The sequence below is a fragment of the Homo sapiens genome, chromosome 12, assembly GCF_000001405.40.
Source record: "Homo sapiens chromosome 12, GRCh38.p14 Primary Assembly".
Taxonomy (NCBI): Eukaryota; Metazoa; Chordata; class Mammalia; order Primates; family Hominidae; genus Homo; species Homo sapiens.
The window spans coordinates 131,457,778-131,470,899 of record NC_000012.12 but is presented as its reverse complement, the minus strand read 5'-3'; the positions used below and the strand labels follow the sequence as shown (position 1 = coordinate 131,470,899).

Sequence of the window (13,122 nt, the reverse complement as noted above, 5' to 3'; positions counted from 1 at the left end):
GCGTTTAATTCATTACACTTTCATTAATAGCCATCTCTGCCTCCTTTCTGAATTATGATTATTAATTTCAACTATTGCCCTCTGGCTGACAGGCTGTTAACATACAGTCTTCTAGCTGGGTTTGGTTTTATTTCCTCTGTCGATATTATTATTTAATAATTATTTACTATTGTACCATATACATCATTTTCTTTTCTCACTGTAACTTACTGTATTTCAAACTGCTTCTCAGTAAATTGTCTTCTTTATGCATTTCCTTCAGGAATTCTAGTAGGGAGAGGGTCCCTGGAGTTAATCCCTCCTTTTTCTGTATCTTTGAAAACAGTTCTAGTCTCATCTACCCCTCATATTTCCTACTTTCCATCTGGCCCTGTTCAGAAACGTGTGGCTCCCTCCGGGATCCCGGGAGATGGTGTCCTCCTAAGAGGTTGACCTGGAGTCACCTTGTAGGGCCTGTTCCTCCCCAGGCGCCCCTCAGGGACATCTCAGCTCCTCTCTCACCACCACCTGTAAATAGCCCTCTGTGGGGGCTGTGATAGATCCAGCTCATGGCTACAGGGCTTCACCCCTCCCTGTGGAGCCCCCACCCTCTGCCCTTGGCTTTGGGCTTGAGCCTGGGAGTGGCTCTGGCCAGCAGAAAGGGATGGAGACGGTGCAGAATCCCTCAGGCTTCCCGTGTCCACGTCCCTGGCTCCTCACCACACCGGAACAGGACTCCCGCCAGCAGCTGGGGAGACCGTTATCTAGTGCATCCTCTGAAGGCAGCAGGCTGCTGTGGGCTGAGGCGCTTTTTAGACACTTAGGAGATAATTCACAACTCATCAGGAACACCGCATCACTGCTTATGGGTGTCTCACGACTGCAGTAGGGAAAATAGGTCTCTTATCAGAAGATTAAGGAAGAAAGATTTTCTCCCTACAGACTCCTCCTGAGGAGCCATGCACATGGCGTTTACTCCCAATGGGCGATGGGATTTTCATCAGCTTTTATGTTCAGAAGGCAGGGCACACCTGGAAGCTGTTGTCGAGGGATGGCCTGATTGAGCTCGTGAGGCCCTGGGCGTGCGGGTAGGGTCCGTTCCTGATCAGGAGCGTTCTCAGCGTCGTGAGCAGCACAGGGCTCAGAGGCTCAGAGGTCCCCAGGAGGCAGGCCCTGCAGCGTGGGGCAAGGGATGGGCACAAATGCTGGGTGCGTGCTGTTGTTGCCCTGGGAGGCCTTGGCAGTGGCGGATCCAGTAGCACAGGCATCATTGGGTATGCTCCCTGCTGGGGCCGTGGGGGTGGAGCCTTCCAGGTCCAGCCGAGGACACACAGCGTGCGGCTGTGAGTGCTGGGAGGGGCGGCCCATGGCCCTGGCAGCCCCAGGCCCACACCCTACTGTGTTCTGGGGGAGATGAGATGATTTTCCTGAAATATTCTTTCTCTTCCTGGCCCCGTTCTCCAGGTGTGGAATATCCTGCTCCAATCAAAGCCATGTCACCTGCGTTGTCCAGTGAAACATCAGTGGACAGGCGCTGCCCGGGCTCCAGGGAGCTCCTCACTGAGGCTCACTCCCTGTGCCTCTGCCATCAGCACAGGGGGACATGCCTGGCTGCCTGTGGGACCAGGGAGGACGCGCGGTGCGGGAGCAGAGCCAGCCACACTGCCGCTGCTGCACTGTTCATCTGAGTGGCGCAAGGTGAGCTGACACCCGTTGGACCCTCAGACCCCTGAGCCAGCCCCACTGAGATCTGAGCCACCGCGGCCAAACTGCAGTCACCTGGGAAGGAAGCCCCGCATTCCGCCTCTGAGATGTGCGGCACTTTGCTGTGCAGCAGGTGCGGATGCGAGCGCCTCCAGCCGCTCCCCTGCTCCCTGGTTTTGGAAGCTTCCCCTCTCCTGGGCCTCACGGTGCTAGGATCCACCACAAGCCATTGCTTTGGTTGTTTCTCAAGTCCAGAGAAGAGAGTTTTCTGTGCAGTGAAAACCTTCCTTGTAACACTGAGCAGAGGCTCCGTGTGCATTTGGCCGCCAGCCATGGAGCAGGCTCTGAGCTTCCCCTGGGGTGTGGGTTCTCCATTTTCAGTGGATTCGATGGGGGCTTTCCTGGGTGCGTTTGCCCCCTGGGTGGGAAACAATCTCGATCACAAGGCTGCTCAAACACACTCTGTCCTCTGGGCTCTGGTGTCCAAGAGGTCTTCGTGTTCATCTCAGAAACAGGATCATAAATTAAAGGCCCTCTAAGACCCCTCTGTGTGGTCTAAGCAGGAGGATGAGTGGAGGTGTGGCGCCCTCCTGACCTTCCCTCTGTCCACATACGTCCCGCCCCCCCTGCTGATGGGCAGAGTCTTGTGACTAGTCCTGGCCAATGGACTTAGGGCAAGAGGGACCTGGTGACACCTGGCTGAGGTGGAGAAAAGCCCCCTGGGCCCCTCCAGCTGCACATTTCCTGCTGCCCTGACTAAGGGGCCACATGCTCTCTTGAGTGTGGGCATGAGGAGCGGAGCCTTGGTCATCAGGGCCCTGAGTGACTCTGTGGAGCCCAGCCGAGCCCCAGCCCTGTGCTCATGGAGTGTGAGTGAGAACTGAGGTTTTGTGCTGCTGCTGGGATTTCAGGGCCATTTGTTACTGGAGAAGCTGTCACAGGGGTCCCAGACCTGGGCTTCCTCCTCGCTAGGTGCATCTTGGGAACTCTGGATATTATCATCCTCATCTCTATAGTGAGAATCATCATCATCATCAAACCTCATTCACTTATTGTGAAGATTAAATGAGTTAACATAGTAAAGCTTTAGAATAGTGTGTAGCAAATGTAGTCACTGTGTTGGTGTTGGCCATAATGAGGGGAGTCAAACTTTTGAAGGCCTTCAATACCAGGCTCAGGAATTTGGTCTTCATCTCAAAGGCCTGCCTGGGCCAGGCACAGTGGCTCATACCTGTAATCCCAGCACTTTGGGAGGCCGAGGTAGGAGGATCACTTGAGCTCATGAATTTGAGACCAGCTGGGCAATGTAGGGAGACCCTGTCTTTACAAGAATAATAAAAAACTATTAGCCGTGCATGGTGGTGCACGCTTGTAGTCCCAGCTGCTTGAGAGGCTGATGTGGGAGGATCACTTGAGCCCAGGATTTTGAGGCTGCAGTGAGCTGTGATCATGCCACTGCACTCCAGCCTGGATGACACAGTGAGACCCTGTCTCTTAAAAGGAGAAAAAAAAAAAAAGGCCTGACTTTTTCACAGTGTCTCCTGCAAACACTAATTCTACAGACTATTAAGACGTTGCACAAAAACAGTATTCTATGTTTTTATATTTTTCATTTTTTGCAAGCAGTGCATTAGCAAAGTGAATGCATTACTTTTTTTTTTAACTGCAAAACTTGTCCATGCCTTTAATCTGAGGGATGAGTCTCCAGGAGAGTTTGTTGTCAGGATTTAACACTTACTCTTGGCAAAGGAGTGATTTGTGCTGGAAGTGAACCGGGCAGACCCTGCTCCCATCTCCGTCTGCCCCAATCTCTGTGCTGCCCACTCCCCATTAACAGTGCCTGTGAACCAAGTCACTGCACAACACCCACAAATGGAGAGTGGAGGAACATCACTTTCCACCCCAGGATCATGACGAGGGCTCTGTAACTTTAACAACTGGTCAGAAGACACCTGGGCTTGGGCTTGTACAGCAGCTCTGGAGCCTGCCCTCCCTTATCATCCATGGCACTATGACTTTGGAGGGTCTCAGCTCAGTCCTACCTGCAGAGGGGCTGTCAGTGCTGGGCAAGAAATTATGCATGTTCAGGGCTGGGCCCTAAACCTCCTGTGGAGGCACCTGACATGCCCCTCCCATCCTCCTGTTGACTGAGGTGGTGATGCCCAGGTGACCCTGGAAACCGCATGTTGATGGTAGCTTAGCAGCCATCAGCCTGGGCCCCTGAATGACCGCATGGAGCAGAGTCTTTCTGCCGACTGGAATTACCACTCCACATTCCTGTGAGAGAGAAACAAGTGTTTTCCTCATGAGATTCTTGAGTTTTGGATGTTTCTGTGCCAACACAGCTAACCCTGGCCCAACATACAAGGTGAGGGCAGACTTTCCCCAAGACGAGAAAAATGGTGTTGGGCAGAGGAAGAGGTGAGGCCGGAGGGCAGGCATGGGAGGGTGACTGGCTCTTCCTGGAGTGGAGGTGGGGGTGGGATGGAGCCGTGGGCCTGTGGGCAGGTGGTTGGGGGAATTGGTGGCTGCCTTCCCACTCCCTCTGGAAAGGCAGCCCCAGGGTTCTCAGAGCTGGACTCTCTCTGTCCAACAGGAAAAGGCAGCCCTGTCCTCTTGCAGAGGGGAGAATACACCTGTGGCTGAGCAGCGGGTACAGCCCCTTCAGTCCTGTGTCCTTCCCTCTTCCAGCATCCCCTGAACTGCTGGGATGACGTGGGATGTGGACCAGGAGCCCCTCTGTCACCACTCGAGCTCAGGGGCTAGAGCCGGCCTGGCTCAGTTGCCAGGTCTGAGGGAGACATTGAGGATTCCAAAAGCTGATTGAACAAGTCCCTTCCCAAAATGAATGGGCTGAGTGGCCAGCACACCTAGGCCTTGTTTCACTTGTCCTGAGGCAGAATCATCCTCGTAAATACAACCCGGGAACATGCACTTTGGGGACGAGGGCCCTGCTCTAGGTTTAGATCAGCCTCCTCCAACCCGCGGCGTGTGGGCCACATGTGGCCCAGGACACCTTTGAATACAGCCCAACATAAATATGTAAAATTTCTTAAAACATTATGAGATTTTTTTTTGCAATTTTTTAAAGCTCATTAGCTATTGTTAGTGTATTTTATGTGTGGCCCGAGACAATTCTTCTTCTTCCAGTGTGGCCCAGGGAAGCCAAAAGGTTGGACAGCCCTGGTTTGGATGGACAAAGTCTCCATGAATGAAGTGCATTTGGGCTGGGGATGAGCAAAGGACAGGCTGAGGCTTGGTGAATAGAAACCACAGCTAAGCAGGATGCAGGGTTGTAAAGACCATAAACTCAGCTGCCAGAAGGCACATTTCCTTCTTTTCCTATAATTGGATCCATTTCATACCTTGAGCCAATATTATGACTGATGTAAAAGTATAATTTATTAAATTCTAAAGAAACTTAGACAAGATCAAAGTAATGTGTTAGACAGGGCATGAGTAGGAGTTTTGCAGAAAAAAATCCAAGGAGAGAATCGTGTGTGTGCGTGCGTGTGTGTGTGTGCGCGTATACAGTTCACCCTTGAACCACACAGGAATTGGGAGTGCTAACCTCCCGCACAGTTGAAAAATCCATGTATAATTTTCGACTCTCTCAAAACTTAACTATTAATAGCCTACTGTTGACCAGAAGCATTACTGATAACACAGTAGATTTACATATATTTTGTAAATTATATACTGTATTCTTACAATAAAGTAAACTAGCATACAGAGAATGTTATTTAAAATCATAAGAGAAAATTTATTTGCTATTCACTAGTGGAAGCACATCATTGTAAAGATCTTCACCCTCATTGTCTTCGTGTTGAGTAGGCTGAGAGGAGGAAAGGGAGGGGTTGGTTGTGCTGTCTCAGGGGTGGCAGAGATGTGAGAGGTGGAGGAGGTGGAAGGAGGGAAGGCAAGAGAGGCAGGCACACTCAGTGCAATTTCCGGGAAATTTTGTCTGACCTGTTTGCTTTTTCATTTTTCTAAAAATATTTTTATGTGAATCCTATTGCCACCGTTTGCTTTAGATTCAGTGCCTGCGTCATAGAAGGGTCCGTGTCAGTAAGGAAGTGAAAAGCAAGATGGAATACTGGAACTCTCCTGGCAGATTGTCTGAAGTCAATGTGTTTTCTGGTATGGCTTCTTCTTTGTTTTCTTCCTCATCATCCGGCGCTGGTTCAGAAGCACTCACCTCCATCAAGTCGTCTTCTGGTTATTGTCTTCTGTGAATTCCTCTGGTGTGGTGTCTGTTAGCTCTTGGATTTCTCCAAGATCCATATCTTGAAATTCTTCAACCCCCCATCATTATTTTTGCCAGATGCACAATCACTTTCATGATTTTTTTGATTGGCTCTGTTGTAAACCCTGTGAAGTCATGTACAACATCCAGACATAGTTTTTTTTTTTCCAGCAGGAATTCATAGTTTCAGACTCGATGGCTTTCACAGCTTTTTCTACCGATGGCATCTTCCACGGTGTAGTCCTTCCAGACTTACATGACATTCTTGCTACTGGAATTCTGTTCCATAACGTTGACAATCCTGGCCATACAGTACTGTGCTTAATGGGCCTTAAAAGTCCTTATGACTCCTGATCTAGAGGCTGAATTAGAGACATTGTATTTGTCTTGTCTTGTATTGTATTAAAGACATTGTATTGTATTTGGGGACAAGACCGCTTTGATGCCTTTGGTGTTGAACCCAAGGCGTTCTGGGTGGCCAGGGACATTATCCAAAATCAAACAGATTTTAAAAGGCAGTCCCTTACTGGCAAGGTACTTCCTTACATCAGGGACAAAGCATCCATGAAATCAATCCAGGAAAAGGGTGCTCACTGTCCAGACCTCCATGTTGTACAAGAGACTGGCGGCTGGTGTTTATCTTTTCTCTTCAAGCCTTGGGGGTTAGCAGCTTTATAGATAAGGGCAGTCCTGACCATAAACCCAACTGCATTTGCACAAAACAGTAGAGTTGGCCTCTCCCTGCCTGCCTTCAGTGCTGGTGCTCACTTCTCTTTCTTACTAATAAATGTCATTTGTGGCATTTTCCTCCCAAAATAGAGCACTTTCATCAGCATTAAAAATCTGTTCAGGCAGATAGCCTTTATGCTCATTGATTTTCTTAATGGTGTCTAGTAACTTGTCTCCTACTTCTTGGTAAGCAGAAGCTGCTTCTCCTGTTATCCTGACATTTTTTGAAAGCCAAACCTCTCTCTTTCTAAAATTATCAAACCATCTTTGGCTGGCATTAAACTCTCCAGCTTTAGCTTCTTCACCTTCCTTTTGCTTTAAGTTGTCAGATAATGACTTCAGTTTTTCTCAAATCATTAAAGTCTACAGTATGCCTTTCTCGTAGTAATTCTGCACCCACACAAAAGCTGCATTTTCAATATGAAATTCAAACGTATGCTACAAAAAGTGTGAGGTGTTTGTGCTTGCTGGTATAGCTGCAGCAACGGCTTCATGGATTTCCTTTTCTTTCTTTCTTTCTTTTTTTTGTAATGGTCCTTACGCTAAATTCATTTATCTTGAATTGGCAAGCAATCTCAGCTGCAGACCTTGACCTAGAGTACATATCAGGCAATTCAACTTTGTATTGTAATGTCATGACTTTTCTCTGCTTCTTGGAGCACTTCCAGCATCACTAGTGGCACTTCTCGTAGGTCTCATGGTGTTACTCAAGGTTTATGGTATTGCAGTAAATATGATTAAAAAAATACATGAGAACCACAAGAGATCACTTTTTACTGCAATATGTAATTTACTGGAGCGATGAGCTGTGCATGGGGAGGTGATTAGCATCACACTGCATTTCCAGCAAATACTCAGAACACTTGAGCTCACCGTAGTAGCAACAGGAGGTGGCCATGAAATTATGACAGTGGTATGTGACGTACTACAGTGAGTTTTATGCATCTTTATGTTTGTTTACATTTCTCTTGACTGTGAATGATGCCATGTAAAGTCTGTGTTTATATGTGTAATTTTGATAAATTTTAACTTTTATAATAATTTGTCTAACATTGTGGTAGTAAATGATAAGATAGGCTAGTATCTACATTTATTTTATGTATTCATGGTATGCCTAACTTTAATTTTTTTCCAATATTTCTAGGTTATGTGTTTCAGCTGCGAGTTTTTCAAATTGTTGCAAATCTTCAAACATTTTTCCAACAAATTTACTGAAAAAAATCCACATATAAGTGGCACCCCCACCAGTTTAAACCTGTGTTGTTCAAGAGTCAGCTATTTTTATGAGGTGTTTTCAAAAGTTTATGGAAAATGAATCTTATGAATAAAACTATGCATGGATTTCAAATCTTTTGCACCAAAATAAACTCATACTAACTTGTTATAAAATGTCTGAGTTTTATACAGTTTAGTTTGAGACACTAAGAAAGATAAGACATCAGTTTGGAAAGGGTCATCAGAGCAACGTGAATTATGCAAAACTGAAGCAAAAACAAACACCAAATTTATGGTGAAGGTTAGGTAGAGGAATGGTGAAGTCATTGATGCTTTCTAAACAGTTTAGGTGGATAATGCCCCACAGAAAGCAGCCATTTACAAATGGTTACGCCATTTTAAGAAGGAACAGGATGATGTTGAACATGAAGCCTGCAGCAGCAGACCACATCAATTTGAGAGGAAAAAATTAATCTTGCTTATGCCCTAGTTGAAGAGGACTGGTGCTTAGCAGCACAAACAATAGCCAACACCATAGACACCTCAATTGGTTCAGCTTTCCCAATCCTGGCCAAAAAATTAAAGTTGAGCAAATTTTCTACGTAATGAGTGCCCAAACTTGCACCCAGATCAGTTGCCAACCAGGGCAGAGCTTTCAATGGAAATTTTAAGCAAGAGGGGGATGAAGATCTTGAAGCATTGCTTTGAAGAATTGTAACAGGAGATGAAACATGGCTTTGCTAGTACCATTCTGGAGACACAATCAAAGCAATGGCTACCAAGAGGTGGAAGTGCTGCAGTCACAGCAAACGTGGCCACCCAAGAGCAAAGGTCATGGCAACAATTTTGGGGAATGTTCAAGGCATTTTGTCTGTTGACTTTCTGGAGGGCCAAAGAACAATAACAGCTGCTTATTATGAGAGTGTTTTGAGAAAGTTAGCCAAAGCTTTAGCAGAAAGTTGCCTAGGAAAGCTTCACCAGAGAGTCCTTCTCCACCACAACAATGCTTCTGCTATTTCTTACCATCAAACCAGGGCAGTCTTTTTTTGTTGTTGTTGTTGAGACGGAGCTTTGCTTTGTCACCCAGGCTAGAGTGCAATGGTGCGATCTTGGCTTACTGCAAACAACCTTGCCTCCCAGGTTCAAGTGATTCTCCTGCCTCAGCCTCCTGAGTAGCTGGGATTACAGGCACCCACCACCATGCCTGGTTAATTTTTGTATTTTTAGTAGAGATGAGGTTTCACCATGTTGGTCAGGCTGGTCTCAAACTCCTGACCTCGTGATCCACCCACCTCAGCCTCCCAAAGTGCTGGGATTACAAGCGTGAGCTACCACGCCTGGCCAAACCAGGGCAATCTTGAGAGCATCCCTGGGAAATCATCAGGCGTCCACCTTTCAGTCCTGATTTGGCTCCTTCTGACTTATTTTTTCCTCATCTTAAAAAGTCTTTAAAGGCCACCCCTTTTTCTTCAGTTAATAATAAAGCCCAAGGAGAGGACATTGCCTGGGCTCTTCCCTGGGGCTGCCCCCTGGCTGGGAGGAGAGCTGACAGTTGCCAGGGGTGGACATTTGGGACAACAGGGCCTTGTCCTGCAGCCTGAAAGCCCCTCTAGGGCTCCTGTCCCATTTCCCTCTTAGATCTAACCAGATGTGGCAGAGAAGCTCGTGGGCAGAGAAGGGGGTCCAGGGAACTTTCCAGAGCCCCTCTCAGCCCTGTGATGGAAACAGGGGCCACCTGGGGAGGATGGTCATAGTGTCATCAGGCACAGTGCCCACTCCACTGCCAGGGACTGTGCTGAGGGTTCATGAGCCATCCAGGGACACTGCTTACATCCCAGTGCAAGATAGCAAAAACACTGGGAAAACCTAAGAACTGAACACAGGGAACTGTCTCAACTTTAGGATGGAGGCAGACGAGTGCTCTGCAGAAATCAGCGGGTCTCACAGATCTGCGTTAATTAGAAGCAATGGTGTCTGCAATCTAGTGAAATTGGTAGATGACAAAATATTGTTTATAAAGTGGTCCCATCTAGGTATAAACAAGGTTACGCCTATTACATTCTATGTGTGCCTTTTTAGAAGTGAGACTGTAAAAGATGGTAAAAATTCAATTCAATCCTAATTGTTCACAGTGATTTGTCCCTGATAATACAAATTTATAGGGTTTATTTTCTTTGCCTGTCATTATTTCCTGACCCCCTCCCCTTCCTGCCTTTATGAGTAATGAATGTGCATTACTTATGCAGTTAGACAAATAGGAGGCTTTAACACTTGGCTTTGTTTCCTGGCTGGCATCTTCCTCTCCGGGCACATCTCCTAGCAAGAACAGCTTCTGAATTTTCCCGTGTTTGTGAAATGCATGGACATTAGCTCTGCCTGGCACAGCCGAGAGCAAGGAAAAGTCAATCAGAAAAGCAGAGAAAAACAGACCCAAACACAACTTGAGTTCCAGAATATGGTGACACTCTGTGCACCCACACTTAGGTTCGCTCATTCACTCGTCCTGGTGGAAAAGATACCAGGAGATGAGTAATCTAAGAGCAGTCCATGGATGACGGAGGATTTATATTTGGCTTGAGAATAAATTAATTCCCTTTTTAATAATGATCTCCTCCCAGGAGAATGACATTTTTAAATGCCTGATTTGGCTAAATATTAAGAGTGGAGTCCTCAGTTCACGCTGATTAATGGAGAGGGCGGGGAGGAGCAGGGGTGGGTGGGGGCACACGGAGGGCACAGGTGGATGGGGCAGCCTGTCTCGGAGCAGAAATCCCATAGACGGCATCCCTGGGCCCTTCTGTGCCGCAGCAGGAACCAGTGCATGTAGGATGTCCCTGAACCATGGGCGCCGGGGCAGAGTCCTGAAAGTAACACCTTCATGGAATTCAATAAGAAAAATCTGAGCAGACTTCATGAAATCTGATTCAATGATCTATTCTCATCGTTAAAAGGGGGACTCCGATTTGGGGCAAGGCCAGGGGAACTTACTTTTCAGGATTAATTAAATAAGCCACGTGTATTTCTCCATGGAGACCTGCCCTGTCTAGCTGCACGCCGGTTAATCAGGGAATTGTCAGGACCTGCTCTTTGCTGCTCCTGGGTCAGATCCCCGCCCCGCTTTCCCTTGTCCCCATCCCCTCCTCCAGACTGCGGTCACCTACCCAGGCCAGGGTAGCGCTGGGGGGTAGGGGGAGCAGGTCCATGCTCTGTGGCTTTGTGAGAACACAGGCGGCAGGCGCCTCTTCGCATCCACGTTTCTCTCCCCATCGCTCCTCATGCCCTGCCTTTGATGGTGAAATGGAACTAGCTCAAACTCGGCTTCCTTCTGTGAAAACAGTGAAAAGGCACAGGCAAACAAGAATATGTGACCGTCACAGCGCAGCTGGGCTGACAGTCCTTCAAGTGGCTGGGAGTTCTTGTAAGGGAGGATAATTACATTTTCATTGTGTTAAAAAAGGAGGAAATGTGGAATACACCCACCATCACTGCTTGAATCTCCTGAAATTTCATTTCCTTCTGAAACTGTTGGGAGTCACAGGCAGGCCTGTGGCTGGACTCATGACACCCCCGTGGGTGGGTGGGTGAGAAGGTGCTCGGGGCCCTTCAGTGTGGGGTGAACAAAACCCCCAGACCCTCCACCAGCTTCTATCCAGGACTCAGACCCACAACTGCACATGAGGTGCTGAGCCTCGGGCGCATAACTGAATGCCTCCCCCATAAAGATGTCATTGGCGCGGAAAAAGATGAACCTCATTGAAGAGCGAGTTTCCAGCTCAGCAGCACCTGGGCTTTGTCCAGCCTGGGCCAGGGCGGAAGTGCGTTGAGGTACTTCCCGGCGTGAGTTTGGATTTGGGGACCCGAGGGACCCGTGGAAGGTGAGGAGATTCCGTGTCGGTGTCAGTCCTGGGACCTCCCTGTGCAGAGAGGCTCACGTGTTCCCACGCTCCCTCCTTCAGCGCGGTGGGTACCAGAGCCAGATCCGCAGGGAGGGCAGGGCTGAAGCCACGTGAGACGCCCCAAGCCGGGCGATCCAGCACCCGTCAACGTGAACGCCATTGAAGCCTAATTGTCAGTCATTAAACAGGACAAGACTGCCCAGGATCTCAACTGGATAATTCAAACAATTAGAATAACAAGGGTTTGTTTCGTCCTAACATTACTGAGCCGAAGAACAATATTTGTGGCATTAACTCTGAAAGTGTCTCGTTCTCAGGACTAAGCAGCGCAGCCTGTGACTAGCAAATACTTCACTGGACAAAACCCCACTCTTCCCTGTAGGACGGCCTCAGGGTCCTCGAGGGAGAGCCCACTCTGACCCCATACCCAGGACGTTCATTACGACACATAGGCAGCTTCTTCGGGATATAAAAAACATCACATTTTAATGACATAATCACCTCTCTTCATTATGTCATTAGCAAAAGCACCATAATTACACACTTAGAACCTGAAATCATCAATAGGGGCCCTGTTTTGTAATTTGAACTATAATTTATAATGGTGAACCCTCCACAGTTCCAGGCAACATGCAGAGAAGGTAATTTCTAGATAGATGACAAGCGGTGCCTTCAGCAGCCTGGGTAGTCACACTGTTCGATAGTAAGAAAGAGGTTTGGAGCCCTGGTGGGAAGCTTCAAGTTAAAGAAGCCAAGAAATTAAATAAACGGAAAGTAGATTTGAAATACACACGGCAAACTGGCAATTTGTCTTTGAGTGTTTTAAAATCACAAACAAGACACTCTGGTGTTTTTCAAAGACAAAGGTTGGGATTTCCCCTAACATTTAGAAACAGTTGGGAGCATGTATGTGAACTCATGTGTTGAAACTGCTCTGCATTCATTTAGGACTTTTATCTTCAAGTCACCTTCTGGAGGACTTGGGCGTGTGTTTGGAAACGTCCCTCTGGAGCCGCGTGGGAATCCTTAGGGTTCAGCCGCATAGGCGCTGGGGAGTCTGGAGCAAATAGCACCCACCGGTCTGGGTCCGCTCTTCCTTGCTGAGGGGCGTCTGGAGAAAGGAGGAGCCTACAGGTGGAGGGGGGGAGGTGGGGTCCTGCCTGTGCCTGGGGTCCTGCTGCCTCAGGGTCAGGACCCTGGGAACCCCACCCCGACCCACTGTGTCCTGCTCTGACTTTGCCCTTGGTGGCGGCGGTGGGGGCCGGGGGGGGGTCTCTCCATGGTTCTGCCAGGCTGGGAAATGCCTGCTCCGCATCTAGCTTCCTGCTACCCCCTCACCATCTTGGCTGTCAG

At 48.2% G+C, this 13,122-nt stretch overlaps 1 long non-coding RNA gene across 2 annotated transcripts in view; it reads left to right on the top strand.

Moving 5' to 3' along the window:
• LOC101929974 (uncharacterized) overlaps positions 1-13,122 on the top strand; it is a 76,895-nt gene that overhangs the window by 58,975 nt on the left and 4,798 nt on the right. The window contains exons 3-4 of one of the 2 annotated variants that reach the window (NR_187799.1): positions 1,444-1,677; positions 5,718-8,042. This is a non-coding gene — a long non-coding RNA (uncharacterized LOC101929974). Of the gene's footprint in view, positions 1-1,443; positions 1,678-5,717; positions 8,043-13,122 lie in introns of those variants that run through there. The other variant, NR_187798.1, reaches the window with a different exon arrangement.